The sequence below is a fragment of the Homo sapiens genome, chromosome 17 (assembly GCF_000001405.40).
Source record: "Homo sapiens chromosome 17, GRCh38.p14 Primary Assembly".
In the NCBI taxonomy this organism is placed as follows: Eukaryota; Metazoa; Chordata; class Mammalia; order Primates; family Hominidae; genus Homo; species Homo sapiens.
In genome coordinates this window covers 18,528,820-18,549,411 of record NC_000017.11, presented here as the reverse complement: position 1 = coordinate 18,549,411, position 20,592 = coordinate 18,528,820, and the positions used below count along the sequence as shown (strand labels likewise).

At 37.7% G+C, this 20,592-nt stretch overlaps 1 pseudogene across 1 annotated transcript in view; it reads left to right on the top strand.

Moving 5' to 3' along the window:
* The window catches only part of CCDC144BP (coiled-coil domain containing 144B, pseudogene), an 87,818-nt pseudogene extending 76,206 nt beyond the window's left edge, over window positions 1-11,612 (top strand). The window contains exons 16-17 of the transcript NR_036647.1: window positions 5,697-5,739; window positions 7,225-11,612. The product of NR_036647.1 is annotated as a coiled-coil domain containing 144B, pseudogene (transcript). The remainder of the gene's footprint in view (window positions 1-5,696; window positions 5,740-7,224) is intronic.
* Window positions 11,613-20,592: the final 8,980 nt, after the last annotated feature.

The window sequence follows — 20,592 nt, the reverse complement described above, 5'->3', positions numbered from 1 at the left end:
GAGCAGAGAGGTAACTTTGAATAGAATGGGAGGCAGGTTTGCCCTAAGCAGTTTCCAGCCTGAGTTTTCCTTTTAGCTTAGTGATTTTGGAGGCCCAAGATATTTTCCTTTCACAGTACTTACCAGAAAAACAAGGTAATGTATCATTTTACAAGATGGTGCTGAGAGAGTATAAAAAGCAGATGTAGGCCGGGCACTGTAGCTCAAACCTATAATCCCAGCACTTTGGGAGGCCAAGGTGGGTGGATCACCTGAGGTCAGGAGTTTGAGACCAACCTCCAACATGGTGAAACCCCGTCCCTAATAAAAATAGAAAAATTAGCTGGGCATGGTGGTGTGCGCCTGCAGTCCCAGTTACTTGGGAGGCTGAGGCAGGAGAATCGTTTGAACCTGGGAGGCAAAGGTTGCAGTGAGCTGAGATTGCGCTGCTGCACTCCAACCTGGGCGACAGAGCAAGACTCCATCTCATGGGTGGGGGAAAAAAATAAATAAAATAAATAAAAGCAGATGTGATGCAAGGGAAGATTTTTGAGGAACTTTTTTTTAAATTTCTGTTTTGTGGGGAAGGGGGTGTTCATTTTTTAGTATTTCTAGATAAGTAGAAAATTTGTTTGTTTTAAAGTTAATGTTAATGTAGTAGTTCCAAGGCATACCTAGTTTCCTTGTGGGGCATTTTTTGCCCAATCATGTTAGATTTACTAAAAGAGATTTAAAAGCATGATTATATCAAGATATGAGTGCTAGGTGCAGAGGCTCACACCTGTAATCCCAGCACTTTGGGAGGCCGAGGCGAGTGGGTCACTTGAGGTCAGGAATTCGAGACCAGCCTGGACAACATGGTGAAACCCTGTCTCTGCTAAAAATACAAAAATTAGCCTGGCGTGGTGGCGGGCGCCTATAATCCTAGCTACTCGGGAGGCTGAGGCAGGAGAATCGCTTGAACCCAGGAGGCAGAGGTTGCAGTGAGCCAAGATTGTGCCACTGCACTGCAGCCCAGGTGACAGAGCAAGACTCCATCTCAAAAAAAAAGATACAAAGGCATGTCTCCATAATCACACCTTGGAAGAGTTCTTATACAGCTGTTGTCTACAGAATTTTTAGAGTTACAGAAAGAAGGTGCCTTCTAGAGTTGCTAGGAACTTAAGTATTTCCTATAGGAAAACATCAGCTAATACAAGGAGGAGGAGGTAACATACCATCTAAACTGAGATTTACAAAAAAGGTAGGGGGTGGGGTGGGTTTCTGGGTGGGGCGGGTTTCTGGGTGGGGCATTACAAAACAGGATATTTGGAAATTTTTAGCTACGATTTTCAAAAGCAAAATGTTAAAAATAGCACTAATATTGGATCTGTTTATACATCTCCTTTATTTGCAAGATTTTAACACTTTGGACTATTCCTACTGTGAAGTGCTATCGTACTCAGCATTGTCTCTAACCTCAAGAAAAATGGTTATAATTTTGTATGAAATCACACACCAGAGAAATAATATATTATAACTGGTTGTTGAAACAAGTTTTCTCTACATTCATGACAGTTAGTATTTATTGCATCTCTCACCCCATTATATGAAGTCTAGAGTCTGACTGTTCCCAGACCAAACTGAGAGTCGGGCTGCTATTTATCATGGTCCAGTAATGAGATGCAGATGAATTGGGAAGAGAGGTTTTATTTTCTGCAACCGGTTACAGGGTTACAAGGAAGGCCTGGAAATTATTACCACACCAATTCAAAATTACAAAGTTTTCCAGAGCTTATATACCTTCTAAGCTATATATCTACATGTAAGTGTGCATTCGTCTATAGACATAAGTGATTAACTTCTTTTAATCTATAACTAAGATCTAAGTCCTGCAGACCTTCCTCTGGAGCTTCAGTAAATTTATTTAATCTAAATGGGTCCAGGTGCTGGAGCGATTACCCTTATCTTGTCTCCTGCTAAATCATGGAGGTTTGGGAGTTCCATTAGACCCCCAATAAACTTATTTGTGGAGGCCTGGGGAGTTTCTTGAGATCCCCAGTAAAACTTGTTTAATACCAAACAGGTCCTATTAAGAATTCCTTCATTATTTTGTCATACTTTAAGGCCCAGGGAAGGCCTAGGCAAGATTCTTGGTGGGCTTTTGTTACATTCCAGCCTGTATAAGGGCACTGGCTCTTTCAGCTTTTAATGTTTAACTTAACTACTCAGTCAGTGCCAAAGCAGTTGTTATGGAGGCCTGCGTTAGTGAGACCTGGCCTGCCACATAGCCTTGCCACTTAACACCATTGTAGTGATAATAGATTGCTATGCCTATGTTTTACTGATTTTTACTTACAGGTTTCACATTCTAGATTAACCCTGGGATCCTTTGTCCTATATATCAGAAGTACTTTTTATAGTTTTATTGGCTCCTTATTTTCCAGCCTGTAATCTCAAGTATAATTTAGCAGTAGCCTGTCAATAAATTATTGCTGAAGAGTGAACTTTGTATTTATTGGACTTTGCCTTTGGTACTGATTTCACTATATTTCTTTAAAAAAATTTTCTAACTCCTCCCCTCTTTAAAGTGGAGGTAGTTGTGAAGAATGTATGGTAAGATTAGAAAAGTCAAGGAAGAAGAAACTATTTCTATAAGTGTTATACAGTCATCTTTCTTGTTCAGGCTGTGGTGGATAGGCAGCAAATGGTGCTCCTCCTTCCCTTCTGAGTTCAGAACACAGGAGTCAGATAGATGGACATCAACACACTAGCTCTATTGCAGACTCATGATAACTAATGGGAGGATGAGGCTCAGATGTGCAGCCACAGTATTTTATGCCAGATTAGGCACTAACCCACAGAGTTTTAAGTGGAGAAAACAAATGCTTGACACCCATCGCAGGTGCGTGCTGCTTACTGCAGAGATGACAGCAGACCTGAACTCATGTCACTGTGGGCAGACACATCTTTTGAAAGAGACCCTGAGCCAAGCAAGCACACTGTGTGCTTTGCCCAAATTCACCCATTAGGTAGATCTGATATCCTCTCAAGAGGAAGCTATAGGTAGAGAGAGTCTAAGTCCTCATTTGAAACCTGAGGCCAGGAAAATGAAGGTTCTCCTATCATTTATGGCTGGATTTAAGTGATAATTGAAATTAATCCCATGTCTTTGTATGTACAAATTAATGATGAGAAGTTGGACAGACGTATGCTAGACGGTAAAGAGAAATCTGTTTTGTGTTTTCAGTTTTTCTATAAATAACTCACAACATGGGTAATTGACTTGATTGATTTTCCTAAACCACGTCTTATTTGGAGGAGAATGAATAGTTCTTTTAAGGAACAGTTTTCTTAATTTCTGCTTGCTTGGTTCAACTAAAGATTTTCTCCTTCAAGTTTTCTGTTCTGCGGTTTGAAAAATGGGTTCTTTATAAATTGAGTGTCTTGACTGGTACTAGCCAGAAGTTATGATATTAATTGTTCTTTAAATTTGATTCATAACTTACAAATTTGGAGAGCTACTATTTTTTGTCTCATGCTTAAACATTATAGAGCATCATGACAGTTTATAGATGCATTTTCTCTTTTTTTTGTTGTTGTTGTTTTTGAGACAGAGTCTCACTCTGTCTCCCAGGCTGGAGTGCAGTGGCGTGATCTCTGCTCACTGCAACCTCTGCCTGCCGGGTTCAAGCGATTCTCCTGCCTCAGCCTCCTGAGTAGGTGGGACTACAGGTGCACACCACCACGCCTGGCTAATTTGTATATTTTTAGTAGAGACGGGGTTTCACCATATTGTCCAGGCTGGTCTTGAACTCCTAACCTTGTGATCCACCCAATTCGGCCTCCCAAAGTGCTGAGATTACAGGCGTGAGCCACCACACCTGGACTGTCTGAGTTATTTTTTTATTTTTATTATTATTATTTTTTTTGATGTGGAGTCTCACTCTGTCACCCAGGCTGGAGTGCAGTGGCACGATCTCGGCTCACTGCAAGCTCCGCCTCCTGGGTTCACGCCATTCTCCTGCCTCAGCCTCCTGAGTAGCTGGGACTACAGGCGCCCGCCACCATGCCCGGCTAATTTTGTGTATTTTTAGTAGAGACGGGGTTTCATTGTGTTAGCCAGGATGGTCTTGATCTTCTGACCTTGTGATCCTCCCGCCTCGGCCTCCCAAAGTGCTGGGATTACAGGTGTGAGCCACCGCGCCCAGCCTATTTTTAAAAACCTGTATTTCTTTTCTGAATATGAAGGAAGGTGCTGGCATAGAATAACTCCAGGCTCAGTGAAAGATCTGAAGCCCACTCCTACCTTGTAACTAATTGGTTTTGTGACCTCAGGCAAGCTGCAGTCTCTCTGAGCCTGTTTTGTTTCTTATGTAAAATTAAGGACTTTGACTAAATCAGTGACATTCATACGTTTAAGTAAATCTCTTTTTTTTTTTAAGAATGGAACTTTTTTAAATTGCATAAAACCACATTATAGAAAACAGAAGTAGTGCTGCCTGACTAAAGGAAGGATCAGTGCTCTGAAGCTGTGACTTTCTTATCCCTTAATCCTTCAGCATCCTCTGTGGAACCTTAGATTTCTGTGGGACATAGCTTGAAAAGGATCATTTCTTGAATTATTACTTTTATAAGGCCTGGATGGTAATGCTGTTGTCATGTTACCTACTCTATAAAGCCTATCTATAATGTTTTTGTCACAGAAATGTTATGGAAAGGAGTCTCAAAATATTGGTAAACCTGTTAGTAAAACAAAAAAATTGACTTGACACCTAAAATTTGTAAAGGCATTAGATATCATTATCTTTATCACCACAAACTATCTCAGACCCTGTTCTAGGCATTTAGTGAGAGAATACCTATTCTAAAAAAAAATTAAATCAGAGCACTCTAGATAGGGACACTGGCAATAAGTTTGAAATATTCCCACACCTTTCATAATTAAGTAGCTAACTATAACTTGTCAGATGCTTAAAAAATGGGTACTAATTTCTGAAAAGAAATCAAAGTTGCAGTTAAATAACTCTAAATTGTTTTCCTAGTTTTTAATTCTAGACATTCATGAATCACAGAAACTAAGATTGAAAACTGGCTCTAACCTGTATTTATCCTTGTTTTTATGTAAATTTTCTGAAATCTTTGTGTCCGTATGAATGAAGAAATGTTAATCATAATAGCGTAATATTTTTAATCTTTTGCCAGTGGAACTTTCACATGGCATCACAACAATACTGCTTTCTTCAAGTATGTATTAAAGATTCTGTGCTGAATTAATAGCAAAGAACATACTTTGAAATTATTATTTTCTAAAAGTGGAGAATGGAGAGTTCATTGTAAGGAACTATTCATTAAAGTGAAAAACTGGTTAGACCTTGATAAAGGGCAGAGTTTTGATAAGAATGGGAAAGTAATGCATTCATTGCAGAATATGACTTGAATTGTGTAACCTCTGTACTAATAAGGGAAAACATCACACTTTTGAAATGACATAGATCCAACAGACCAATATTAATTGTACTTTTGTGAGATTAATCTAAACAGCATAACACATATATGTTCTCCATTATCTAAACTTAAAATTGGTAGGAATTTATATGATATTTTTAATTTAAGCAATCTTCAAATTAGGTCTAGTCTGTAAAAGTATTATTTAAAGGCCGCATTTTGTAATTAATGCTCCTTACCATGATAATGTCTCTTCTTAAACGTTATAAATAATATTTGACTTATTTCAGATGCAGCAGAAGTTGCAAAATGATCTAACTGCAGAAGTAGCAGGTATGTTACCAAAATTTATGAATTAAATTGATTAAGTAATATATATCTGAAATAAACTGCAAACGACATCCCTTTCCGTTCTTGGGCTAGTAGATACTACATTAAATATTCTTTCATATACATCTAATGAAAGATGTGAAAACTTGAACATGTATAATGAAGAGCATACTTATGCCTCATGAATTCATCACGTTCCATAGCTTGAAAAAAATAGCTCAAGAAGTCTGGCTCTACTCTTCACTTCTGCCATCCCTATGGAATTGTCAGCCAGCACACAGAAACGGTTCTCAGAAAACAGAGGCATCATCAATTTCTCAGGGTTATGGTAGTGATTTTTAAGGCCAAAACATCCCAGTCTCATCTAGTAACCTATTCAAGCAGTTACAGTTTATAAGCAGTCGCTTGAGAGGTAACACTTTAAATCTCCAGTCATTTACAGTGTCATTGGTTTACTTTTGCCCTCAGAAAAAGTTCCAAATTCCTTAACATGTAATATAAACACCCACGTTCATTTGGTTCTTGTCAAGTTACTCAGGCTTATCTCTCACCACTTACTTTACTCTGCCCCTTTGCTCTAGGATCCAGCCAAACTGGACTGCACAGAATTCCACAGTGCTCGTCCTTCTCCAGCTCTTTGCACTTGCTTCTTTGCTCTATCTGCCAACCTTTTTTTCTCATCCTTCAGGTATCCACTAACCATGCCTCCACCGAAAAGCCTACAGTATCGAGACAAAACTGGGATAGGTATCCCTCTTGCATTCCAATAGTGCCCTGTTTTATACCTGTCAGGGTATCTATGACTTGGTATGGAAATTGCCTATTTGTCTGCTTTTTCAGGTTATAGCATATGATTGCTGAGGGGTGGACTGTATCATCTTCATCTTGTAACTCCAGGGCATAGTCTAGTACCTTAGCATGCGGTTGTTGAATAAATGAATGAAGAATGAGAAAACCAGAAGCTGTGATACACAACCACAGTGATCATTAATTTAGTGTGCAACTATGGGCAGATTCTTATCTAATAATAAGTTAGCATTGTAGTCATACATACGTTTCATTCTTGTTAACACTGAAAAAGCTCTCAACTCTTTTTTACTGATTTGCACTTAGTTAACTATGAAATATGTAGAATATAATTCTTTGGCCAGGCATGTTGGCTCACGTTTGTAGTCCCAGCACTTTGGGAGCCTGAGACAGGCAGATCACTGGAGCCCAGGAGTTTGAGAGCAGCCTGTGCCAACATGACGAAACCCTGCCCCTATAAAAAATACAAAAGCTTGCCAGGCACAGTGGCTCATGCCTGCAGTTCCAAGTACTTGGGGCTGAGGCAGGAGAATTGCTTAAGCCTGGGAGGACGAGACTGCAGTGACCTGTGATCACACCACGGCACTCCAGCATAGGTGAAAGAGTGAGACCCTATCTTAAAATAATAACAATAACAATAATAATAATAATAATAATATAATTCTTGCTTTTTTTTTTCAGCTGCTACTAAATATGAACCTGGATCCTATATAGCTTCTCCTCTAGGATTTACACACAAGGAAAATCTGAATCAAGATCCAGTTTTGGAAGTAACAAAAGAGTATGCACAGATTTTAAGAAGAAAATACATACTCTGAAAGATAAGGCAATTTTATTTGGGCTATTCACATGATATTTTGTTTCCCATTAAATATATGATGTGAACATTTTTACTAAAGGGAAATATTCTATATTATACATGTCTGATGAAAATTTATGTAGTATTTTAAATAATGTTTCTTGGCCTCTTCAGCTAACTTTTAAGTGGATTTTGCAAATGAAAACCAGTATTACTGAGTTTTACATACTCGAACTGCCCAAATGTTTGCTGTTTAAACAGCCAAATAATCAAGTTGCCATTAGTAATTTAGTGGAGCCAATTGATGGCTTGTTTGTATTTTATAATTTTATCTTTATACATAGTGATAGATTTAAGTTTAGATAGACATCATTTTGGTATACTGGTACTGTGGTCATTGTCAATGTTTGGATGTATTACGATTGTTATAGTGCAATCAAACTTAGATAATTTTAATTTTAAGCACTGATTTATTTAGATCTTTCCTTGTGGAAAAATAAGGTTTGCCTAAGGCTTTTTGCTTTTTTATTTATTGTTTCATTTCTTTATTAGATTAACTTTTGGGAAACAGTCTTAAAATTGGAGAAAATTTCCACATTTTAGGAAAAACAGCTTCCCCCCTGTGGGCCATTTGAGAGTAAATTGCTGACATTATGCCATCACATCTGGTATGTGGGTATTCCCACAAGTCAGGACATTTTATATAACTACTTCATAATCAGAAAGTTAACATCAATACACTTGATCATTTAATTCTCAGTTTCTTTTCAAGTTTTCTTAATTGTCTATAATGTTCTTTGTAGCAGAAGGATCCCATTCAGGTCCATGAATTTCATTTAGTTGTCATGACTCTTTCAGTCTGGAACAGTTCCTCAGTTTTTCTTTGACCTTTATGACCTTAAATCTTTTGAAGAGTAAAGTCCAATAATACAGAATGTCCCTCCATTGGATTTCTCTGAACTTTTTTTATGATAAGATTTAGATGATAATTTTTTTTTTGGCAAGAGTATCACAGAAGTTATCCCATGATCTTCTCACTGCATTCTATCAGGTGACCTGCAATTATTATTATTTTTTATTTTCATCTTTTAAGTTCAGGGGTACATGTGCAGGATGTGCAGGATGTCCAGGTTTGTTACATAGGTAAATATGTGCCATGGTGGTTTGCTGCACAGATCATCCCATCACCTAGGTATTAATAGTAGCCCAGCATCCATTAGCTGTTCTTCACGATGCTCTCCCTTCTCTCACCCGCCACCATCCCACATGCCCCTGTGTGTGTTGTTCCCCGCCATGTGTCCATGTGTTGTCATTATTCAGCTCCCACTTGTAAGTGAGAGCATGCAGTATTTCATTTTCTATTTCTGTGTTGGTTTGCTGAGGATAATGTTCTGCAGCTCCACCCATGTCCCTGCAAAGGACATGTCTCATTCCTTTTCATGGCTGCATAGTATTCCATGGTGTATATGTACCACATTTTCTTTATCCAGTTTATCATTGATGGGCTTTTAGGTTGATTCTTTGTCTTTGCTGTTGTGAATAGTGCTGCAATGAACATACGTGTGTGTGTATCTTTATACTAGAATTAGTTATATTCCTTTGGGTATACACCAAGTAATGGGATTGCTGGGTTAAATGGTATTTCAGGTTCTAGATCTTTGAGGAATCACCACACTGTCTTCCACACTGGTTGAACTAATTTACACTCCTATCAACGGTGTAAAAGCATTCCTGTTTCTCCATAATCTTGCCAGCATCTTTTCAGTTTTTTGAATTATAGCCATTCTGACTGTTGTGAGATGGTGTCTTGTTGTGGTTTTGATTTGCATTTCTCAGATGATCAGTGATGTTGAGGTTTTTTTGTTTGTTGGCTGCATGTATGCCTTCTTTTGAAAAGTGTCTGTTTGTGTCCTTTGACCACTTTCTAATGGGGTTGAGTTTTTTTTTTCTTGTAAATTTGTTTAAGTTCCTTGTAGATGCTGGATATTAGACCTTTGTCAGATGGATAGAGTGCAAAAATTTTCTCCCATTCTGTAGGTTGTCGGTTTACTCTGTTGATAGGTTCTTAATGCTGTGCAGAAGCTCTTTAGTTTAATTAGATCCCATTTGTCAATTTTGGCTTTTGTTGCAATTGCTTTTGGCATCTTCGTCATGAAATCTTTGCCCTTGCCTGTGTCCTGAATGGCATTGCCTAGGTTTTCTTTCAGGATTTTTATAGTTTTGGGTTGTAGATTTAAGTCTTTAATCCATCTTGAGTTAACTTTTGTATATGGGTTAAGGAAGGGGTCCAGTTTCAATTTGCTGCATATGGCTAGCCAGTTCTCCCAGCACCATTTATTAAATAGGGAATCTTTTCCCCATTGCTTCCTTTTGTCAGGTTTGTCAAAGATCACATGGTTGTAGGTGTGTGGTCTTATTTCTGGGTTCTCTATTCTGTTCCATTGGTCTATGTGTCGGTTCTTGTACCAGCACCATGCTGTTTTGGTTACTGTAGTCTTGTAGTATATTTTGAAGCTGGGTAGCATGATGCCTCTAGCTTTGCTCTTCTTGCTTAGGATTGTCTTGGCTATTTGGGCTCTGTTTTGGTTCCATATGAATTTTAAAATAGCTTTTTCTAGGTCTGTAAAGAAGGTCAATAGTAGTTTAATGGGCCTAGCATTTAATTTACAGATTGCTTTGGGCAGTGTGGTCATTTTCACGATATTGATCCTTCCTGTCTGTGAGCATATGTTTTTCCATTTGTTTGTGTCATCTCTGATTTCTTTGAATAATGGTTTATAGTTATCCTTGAAAAGGTCCTTCACTTTTCTTGTTAGCTGTATTCCTAGGTATTATACTCTTCTTGTGGCAATTGTGAATGGGAGTTAATTCATGATTTTTCTCTCGGCTTGCCTGTTGTTGGTGTATAGGAATGCTAGTGACTTTTGCACATTGATTTTGTATCCTGAGACTTTGTTGAAGTTGCTTATCAGCTAAGAGGTTTTTGAGCTGAGATGATGGAGTTTTCTAGATATAGGATCATATCATCTGCAAACAAAGATAGTTTGACTTCCTGTCTTCCTATTTGAATAGCTTTTCTTTCTTTCTCTTGCCTGATTGCCTTGGTGAGAATTTCTAATACTGTGTTGAATAGGAGTGGTGAGAGAGGGCATCTTTGTCTTGTGTCAGTTTTCAAGGGAACGCTTCCAGGTTTTCAGGTACTCAGGCAACAAATAGCGCTACGAATAGAATAGTACCTCACATCTCAATGCTAATGTTGAACGTAAATGGCCTAAATGCTCCACTTAAAAGATATAGAATGGCAGAATGGGTAAGAATTCACCAACCAAGTTGCTGCTGTCTTCAGGAGACTCACCTAACACATACGGACTCACATAAACTTAAGGCAAAGGGTTGGAAAAAGACACTTCGTCTAAATGGACACATCAAAAGCGAGCAGGAGTAGCTGTTCTTATATCAGACAAAACGGACTTTAAGACAACAGCAGTTTTAAAAAGACAAAGAGGGACATTATATAATGATAAAAGGACTAGTTCAACAGGAAAATATCACAGTCCTAAATATATATGCACCTAATACTGGAGATCCCAAATTTATAAAACAATTACTACTAGACATAAGAAATGAGGTAGTTGGCAACACAATAATAGTGGGGGATGTTAATACTCCGCTGGCAGCACTAGGCAGATCACCAAGACAGAAAGTCAACAAAGAAACAATGGACTTAAACTATACCCTAGAACAAATGGACTTAACAGATACTTACAGAACATTCTACCCAACAAGCATAGAATATACATTGTATACATCAGAACACGGGACATTCTCCAAAATAGACCATATGATAGGGCACAAAACAAGTCTCAGTAAATTTAAGAAAATCAGAATTATATCAAGTACTCTCTCAGACCACAGTGGAATAAAATTGGAAATTAATTCCGAAAGGAACACTCAAAAGCATGCAAATACATGGTAATTAAATAACCTACTCCTGAATGATTGTTGGGTCAACAATGATATCAAGAGGGAAATTTAAAAATTCTTTGAACTGAACGATAATAGTGACACAGCCTATCAAAAACTCTGGGATACAGCAAAAGTGGAGGTAAGAAGAAAATTCATAGCATTAAATGCCTATATCAAAAAGTCTGAAAGAGCACAAATAAACAATCTAAGGTCACACCTCACAGAATTGGAGAAACTAGAACAGTCCAAATCCAAACCCAGCAGAAGAAAAGAAATAACAAAATCAGAACAAAACTAAATGAAATTGAAACAAAAAAATACAACAGATAAATGAAACAAAAAGCTGGTTCTTTGAAAAGATAAATAAAATTGATAAGCATTAGCAAGATTAATCAAGAAAAGAAGAGAGAAGATCCAAATAAGCTCTATTAGAAATGAAATGGGAGATATTACCGCTGATACCACCACAGAAATACAAAAGATTATTCAAGACTACTATGAACATCTTCACATCCATAAACTAGAAAACCTACAGGAGATCGATAAATTCCTGGAAATATACTACCCTCCTGGATTAAATTAGGAAGATATAGAAACTCTGAACAGACCAATCAGAAGCAGCAAGATTGAAAATGGTAATTTAAAAATTGCCAACAACAAAAAAGTCCAGGACCAGATGGATTCACACCTGAATTCTATCAGACATTCAAAGAATTGGTACCCATCCTATTAACACTATTTCACAGGATAGAGAAAGAGAAATCTTCCCTAAATCATTTGATGAAACCAAAATCACCATGATATGGTTTGGCTCTGTGTCCCCACCCAAATCTCATCTTTTAGCTCCCATAATTCCCACATGTTGTGAGAAGGACCCAGTAGGAGATGATTGAATCATGAGGGCGGGTCTTTTCCATGCTGTTCTCATGACAGTGAGTGAGTGTCACAAGATCTGATGGTTTTAAAAACAGGACTTTCTCTACACAAGCTCTTTCTTTTTGCCTGCTGCCATCCACGTAGGATGTGACTTGCTCTTCCTTGACTCCACCATGACTTTGAGGCCTCCCCAAATATGTGGAACTGTAAGTCAAATAAACCTCTTTCTTTTGTAAATTGCCCAGTCTCAGGTATGTCTTTATCAGCAGTGTGAAAATGGACTAATACACACCCTAATACTGAAACAGACTAATAGACACCCTAATACCAAAAGCAAGGAAGGACATAATGAGAAAAGAAAGCTACAGACCAACATCCCTGATGAACAGAGATGCAGTAATCCTCAAAAAAATACTAGCTAGCTGAATCTAACAACATATCAAAAAGATAATCCATCATGATCAAGTGGGTTTCATACCAGGGATGCAGGGATGGTTTAACATCTGCAGGTCAATAAATGCGATACACTACATAAACAGAATTAAAAAACAAAAGTCACATGATCATCTCAATAGATGCAGAAAAACCACTTGAGAAAATCCAGCATCCTTATTTTATTAAGACCCTCAGCAAAATCAGCATAGAAGGGACATACATTAAGGTAATAAAAGCCATCTATGACAAACCCACAGCCAGCATTATACTGAACAGGGAAAAGTTGAAAGCATTCCTCCTGAAAACTGGAAGAAGACAAGATTGCCCGCTTTCTCCACTTCTATTCAACATGGTACTGGAAGTTCTAGCCAGAGCAATCAGACAAGAGAAAGAAATCAAGGGCATCCAAAGTGGTAAAGAAGAAGTCTGCCTATTGCTGTTTCCCAATGATATGATTGTATACCTAGAAAACCCTAAAGACTCATCCAAAAAGCTTCTAGAACTGGTAAATGCATTCAGCAAAGTTTCAGGATACAGAGTTACACACAAGTGTGCACAAATCCGTAGCTGTGCTATACACCTTCAGCGACCAAGCCAAGAATCAAATCAATAACTCAACCCTTTTTACAATAGCTACAAATAATAATAATAAAATACTTAGGAATATTCCTAACCAAGGAGGTGAAAGATCTCTGCGTGGAAAACTACAAAACACTACTGAAAGAAATCACAGATGACACAAACAAATGGCAGCACATCCCATGCTCATGGATGGGTAGAATCAATATTGTGAAAATGACCATACTGCCAAAAGCAATCTACAAATTTAATCCAATTCCCATCAAAATACCACCATCATTCTTTACAAAATGATGAAAAATAATCCCAAAATTCATATGGAACCAAAAAAGAGCCTACATAGCCAAAGGAAGACTAACCAAAAAGAACAAATCTGGTGACATCACATTACCTAACTTCAAACTATTCTGTAACACCATAGTCACTAAAACAGCATGATACTGGTATAAAAATAGGCACATAGACCAATGGAACAGAATAGAGAACCCAGAATTAAAGCCAAATACTTACAGCCAGCTGATCTTCAACAAAGTGAGGAAAGGACACCCTATTCAACAAATAGTGCTGGGGTAATTGGCTAGCCACATTTAGGAGAATGAAACTGGATCCTTATCTCTCACCTTATACAAAAATCAACTCAAGATGGATCAAGAACTTAAGACCTGAAGCCTTAAAAATTCTAGAAGATAACATTGGAAAAACCCTTCTAGACATTGGCTTAGGCAAAGACTTCATGACCAAGAAGCTCAAAACAAATGCAACAAAAACAAAAGATAAATAGATGGGACTTAACTAAACTAAAAAGCTTTTGCACAGCAAAAGAAATAATCAGCAGAGTTAACAGACAACACACAGAGTGGGAGAAAATCTTCACAACCTACACATCCAACAAAGGACTAATATTCAGAATCTACAAAGAACTCAAATCAGTAAGAAAAAAACCAATCCCATAAAAAAGTGGGCTAAGGACACGAATAGACAATTCTCAAAAGAAAATATACAAATGGCCAACAAGCATATGGAAAAATGCTCAACATCCCTAATGATCAGGGAAATGCAAATCAAAACCACAACGCGGTATAACCTCATTCCTGTAAGAATGGCAATATTAAAAAAATTAAAAAATAATAGATGTCGGCATGGATGTGGTGGAAAGGGAACACTTTTATAGTGTTGATGCTAATGTAAACTAGTACAACCACTATGGAAAATGGTGTGGAGATTGCTTAAAGAACTAAAAGTAGATCTACCATTTGATCCAACAACCCCATTCCTCAGTATCTACCCAGAGGAAAAGAAGTCATTATACAAAAAAGATACTTGTACACACGTTTATAGCAGCAAAATTCATAATTGTGAAAATATGGAACCAGCCCAAATGCCCATCAATCAATGAGTGGATAAAGAAAATGTGATATGTACACACACACCCCATGGAATACTACTCAGCCATAAAAAGGAGCAAACTGGATGGAATTGGAGACCATTCTTCTAATTGCAGCAACCTGGATGGAATTGGAGACCATTCTTCTAAGTGAAGTAGCTCAAGAATGGAAAACCAAACATCATATGTTCTCATATGTGGGAGCTAAGCTATGAGAATGTAAAGGCATAAGAATGATACAGTGGACTTTGGGGACTCAGGGGAAACAGTGGGAAGGGAGTGAGAAATAAAAGACTACACACTGAGTACAGTGTACACTGCTCGGGTGAGGGATGCACCCAAATCTCAAAAATCACCACTAAAGAACTTATTTATATAACCAAACACCACCTGTTCCTTAAAAACCTATTGAAATAAAAAGTAAATTTAAAAAAACCTCCTGGATTCATTGATTTTTTTGAAGGTTTTTTTGTGTCTCTATTTCAGTTCAGCTCTGATCTTGGTTATTTCTTGTCTTCTGCTAGCTTGGGAGTTTGTTTCCTCTTGGTTCTCTAGTCCTTTTAGTTGTAATATTAGGTTGTTAACTTGAGATCTTTCTCTCTTTTTGATGTGGGCATTTAGTGCTATAAATTTTCCTCTTAACACTGCTTTAGCTGAGTCCTGGAGATTCTGTTATGTTGTCTCTTTGTTCTAATTAGTTTTAAAACACTTCTTGATCTCTGCCATAATTTTGTTATTTACCCCAAAGTCATTCAGGAGCAGATTGTTCAATTTCCATATAGTTGTGTGGTTTTAAGTGAATTTCTTAATCTTGAGTTCTAATTTGATTTTGCTGTGGTCTGAGAGACTCTTTGTTATGATTTCAGTTATTTTTCATTTGCTGAGGAGTGTTTTTCTTCCTAATTTATGATTAGTTTTAGGGTAAGTGTCATGTGGCTATGAGAAGAATGTATATTCGCTTGTTTTTTGTTGGAGAGTTCTGTAGATATCTATCATGTCTACTTGATCCACAGCTGAGTTCAGGTCCTGAATATCTTTGTTAATTTTCTGTCTCCATGATGTGTCTAATATTGTCATTGTGGTGTTAAAGTCTCCCACTATTATTGTGTGGGAGTCTAAGTCTCTTTGAAGGTCTCCAATAACTTGCTTTATGAACCTGGGTGCTCTTGTATAGGGTGCATATATATTTAGGATAGTTAGCTCTTCTGGTTGAATTGAACCCTTTACCAACAGGTAGTGCTCTTCTTTGTCTTTTTTGATCTTTGTTAATTTAAAGTCTGTTTTGTTAGGAACTAGGATTGCAAGCTCTGTTTTTTTCTGCTTTCTGTTTGCTTGGTAAATTTTCCTCCATCCCTTTATTTTTAGCCTATGTGTTTCTTTGTGTGTGAGATGGGTCTCTTGAATACAGCATACTGATGGGTCTTGGTTCTTTATCTAGCTTGCCATTCTGTGTCTTTCATTGGAAAACACATTGAGATTTAAGGTTAGTAGTATTATATGTGGATTTGATCTCATCATCATGATGCTAGCTAGTTATTTTGCTAACTTGTTTATGTGGTTGCTTCACAGTGTCACTGTTCTTTGTACTTTAGTGTGTTTTTCTGGTGCCTGGTAATGGTTTTTCCTTTTCATATTTACTGCTTCCTTCAGGAGCTCTTGCAAGACAGGTCTGGTAGTAACAAGTTCCCTCAGCATTTGCTTGTCTGAAAAGCATCTTATTTATCCTTTGCTTATGAAGCTTGGTTTGGCCAGATGTGAAATTCTGGGTTGGAAATTATTTTCTTTAAGAATGTTGAATATTGGTTCCCAGTATCTTCTGACTTGTAGGGTTTCCACTGAGAGGTCGGCTGTTCATCTGATGGGGTTCCCTTTGTAGGTGACCTGGCCTTTCTGTCTGACTGCCCTTAACATTTTTTCTTTCATTTAGAGTTTGGAGAATCTGATGATTATGTGTCTCAGGGATGATCTCCTCGTGGAGTATCTCACTGGAGTTCTCTGGATTTCTTGAATTTGAGTGTTGGCCTGTCTTGCTAGAACTAACCTGGGGAAGTTAGTTCTCTTGGATCCTGTGCTGAAGTATGTTTTCCAACTTGGTTCCATTCTCCTTGTCTTTTTCAGGTACCCCAATCCATCATAGATTCGTTCTCTTTATGTAATCCCATATTTTTTGATGGTATCGTTCATTCCTTTTCATTCTTTTATCTCTATTCTTGTCTGCCTGTCTTATTTCAGAAAGATCATCTTCAAGCTCTGAGATTCTTTTCTTGGCCTATTCTGCTGTTAATAATTGTGATTTCATTGTGAAGTTCACTCAGCTCTAACAGGTGAGTTATGTTTTTCTCTAGACCGGCTATTTTGGCTGTCTGCTCCTGTATTGTTTTGTCATGATTCTTAGTTTCTTTGCATTGGGTTACAAGATGCTCCTTTAGGTCATTGAAGTTCACTGTTATTCACATTCTGAAGCCTACTCTGTCATTTCAGCCATCTCAGGCTCAACCCAGTTCTGAGCCCTTGCTGGAGAGGTGTTGCAGGGATACTCTGGCTTTTCGAGTCCTCAGGATTTTGGTGTTATTTCTCATCTCTGTGGGTCTATCTTAAACTTTGACCTTGAGGATGGGGTTTTTGTGGCTTTTTAAATTGTTATTGTTGTTTTTTCCTGCTTGTTTTTCTTTTAACAGTCTGGCCACTCTTCTGCAGGGCTGCTGCAGTTTGCTGGGGGTTCGCACTATACCCTAGTTGCCTCAGTTTTTCCCATAGCTGGAGGTATCATCAGTGAAGTCTGTGAAACAGCAAAGATGGCTGCCTGCCACTTCCTCTGGAAGCTCCAGCCCAGCAGGGTACTGACCTATTGCTGGCTCGAAAGTGCCTGTAGGAGGTGGCTGGAGACCCCAGTTGGGAGGTCTCCTCCAGTCAGGAGAAATGGGATAAGGGACCTGCTTAAAGAATGATTCTGGCTACTTTTTGGTAGACCAGCTGTGCTGTGTTGGGGATCCCTTCAGTTCCCATTCAGTTTGGGCTGTCCAAAGGCCCACAGGCTGAACTGGCTGAGAAGCTTGAAAGGCCTAGGTGGCAGCCTGCCCCACCCCTCAGGCACTCCATCCCGGGAAGAAATTAGAGCTCTGTTAGCCCCATAGAACATGAGTGACCTACAATTTTGATTTGCCCTTTTACTGGTGATGTTGGCATTGATCACAAACAGTGTTGTCTGCTAGCTTTCTCCTCTGTAATGTTACTTTTTCACCTTGTAATTAATTAGTATTAATATTTTGTGGGGAGGTAATTCGAGACTATGTAGATATCTCTGTTCTTCATCAAACTCAATTTATTCATTTACTTGATTTGATATTTACTTGTGGTTTATTTCATTTAATAGGTTATAATTTGACAATTGTTTTAACAATTTTTTTCTTTTTAGAAATGTTTTATTTTGACAATTTTAGACTTATAGAAAAATAGTAAGAAAACTACAAAACATTCTTGGATAATATTCCCCAAATGTGAACATTTTACTGTATTTGCTTTATCCTTTCTCCCCCTTTTCCTCTTCTCTTTCTAGGTAAATATAAATGTAGGTGCATAATATAGACTTTTTCTGAATGGTTTATAAGTTGCAGGTATGATGCCTCTTTATTTCTAAATAATTTTATGTGTGTCTCCTAAAAACAAGGCATTATCTTGCATAATTATAGTATAACTATCAAAATCAGGAAATTAAAAATGGTTTACTGTTACTATCTCATCCATAAACCTTATTTTACTTTTTTCAGTTGTCTCAATAATATTTTTTATAGCCAAATAATTTAAGATGGGTGATTTTACAATCCATGATGTTGACTTTCATAATCCATGATGTTGAGAGGTTTCAGCATTTTTACGTTGATTCTTCCTCATCTCTGTGGGCCTATGTACCTTTGATGTTTGAGGTTGCTGACCTTTGGAGGAGGTCGATCTGTGTCAAATTATTCTGTCTTTTTAGTCTCTTTTAGTCCAGGATGATTCCTGAGTCTTTCCTTGATTTTCATGGCATTTATGTGTTTGAAGAGTATGGGTCAGTTTTTTGTGGATTTTCTCTCAGTTTGGGTTCATAGGATGTTTCTTCATGATTCAGTTCAGGTTATACCATTCTGGCAGGAAGGTCACACAAGTGAGGCTGAGTTCTTCCCAATGCAGCATATCTGGAGGCATATGCTGTTACTTGGCTCCATTACTGGCCAGTGTTGACTTTGGTTGAGAATCTGCCAGGTCTGTCCATGATAAAGTGACTATCTACCATTTGTTTTTCACCAATGTCTTATGTGAACATAGTTTGAGGCTCTGTAAATATCTGGTTACTCTAAACATCTCACCCACTAGATTTAGCATTTTATTGATTATTTTTGTTGGGTCAATTATTATTATGGTGGTTGCCAAATCATGATTGTCTTCATCTTTCATTCCTTCTACGTGGATAAGTAAAACAAAACAAAACCAACCAACAAATAGGGGAGAAGGGAAAATTTATTGTTTTGCTGTTCAGGTTCCCTCCGCTTTGACCAGTGGTAGCCATTTCAAGCTGAGTTCATGTCTTTTTGAACTGTCCTTATTGTTCTTTGAATACTTCCTTACTTTCTGGCATAAGCTGTTTCAACCATACTTTGTATTTTCTCTGCCCCAGCCCTTGAATCAGCCATTTTCATTTTTTTCCAGAAGCCCTGACTTTCTTTAGGGGACAGTAATTAGAAACCAATATCTGGGCAGTAATTGTGGTAGATACGTATGGCTGTTGTAGTTGTCATTGCTCATAGGCTTCCTCAGTGAACAGAGCAGAAAAATACAGCTAGATGGATAAATATACAAACATACATGCTTATATTCATCGATATTTCTATATTAGAATATACTGAAAACCATGAGTTCTTCCTGGTGATTCTAATTCCAGTTGAATCACACATGGCTCATTTTAGGTTTTTTTTCCCTTTCAGTACTCTTGACCTTTGAACAATGTGGAAGTTAGAGGGGCTGAACCCCACACAGCCGAAAATTTGCCTAAATTTTGACTTCCCTGTAATGTAACTGCTGACTGACCTGATTAACTACTGTTGACCAGAAACCTTACCCATAACAAAGTTGATTAATATATATGCTGTATATTCTATGTATTATACACTATATTCTTATAAAAGTAAGCTAGAATTGCCTTAGCTATTCCAGCTGTTTTGGGGTTTGATATAAATTTTAAAATAGTTTATCCTAATTCTGTGAAGAATGTCATTGGTAGTTTGGTAGCTGACTTCAAACTATACTACAAACCTGCAGTAACAGAAATAGCATGGTACTGTTACAACAGCAGACACATATACCAATGGAACAGAATAGAGAGCTAAGAAATAATGCAGCACACCTACAACCATCCAACCTTCAACAACTCCACTTAAAAAAAGCAATGGGGAAAGCAATGGGACTGCTGGGTCAAATGGCAATTCTAAGTTCTTTGAGAAATCGCCAAACTGCTTTCCGCAATGACTAAACAAGTTTAAATTCCCACCAGAAGTGCATAAACATCCCCTTTTCTCCACAACCTTGCCAGCTTCTGTTAGTTTTTGACCTTTTAATAATAGTCATTCTGACTGGTGTGAGATGGTGTCTCACTGTGGTTTTGATTTGCATTTCTCTAATGATTAGTGAGTTTGAGCATTTTTTTCATAGCCTTGTTGGCCACATGTTATGTCTTCTTTTGAAAAGTATCTGTTCATGTCCTTTGCCCACTTTTGATGGGGTTGTTTGTTTTTTTTTCTTGTAAATTTAAGTTCCTTGCAGATGCTGGATATTAGACGTTTGTCAGATGGCTAGGTTGCAAATATTTTCTCCCTTTCTGTGAGCTGTTCACTCTGTTGATAGTTTCTTTTGCCGTAAAGAAGCTCTTTAGTTTAATTAGGTCCCATTTGCCAATTTTTGTTTTTCTTGCAATTACTTTTGGCATCTTTGTCATGAAGATCATTTCCAGGTCCTATGTCCGCAATGGTATTTCCTA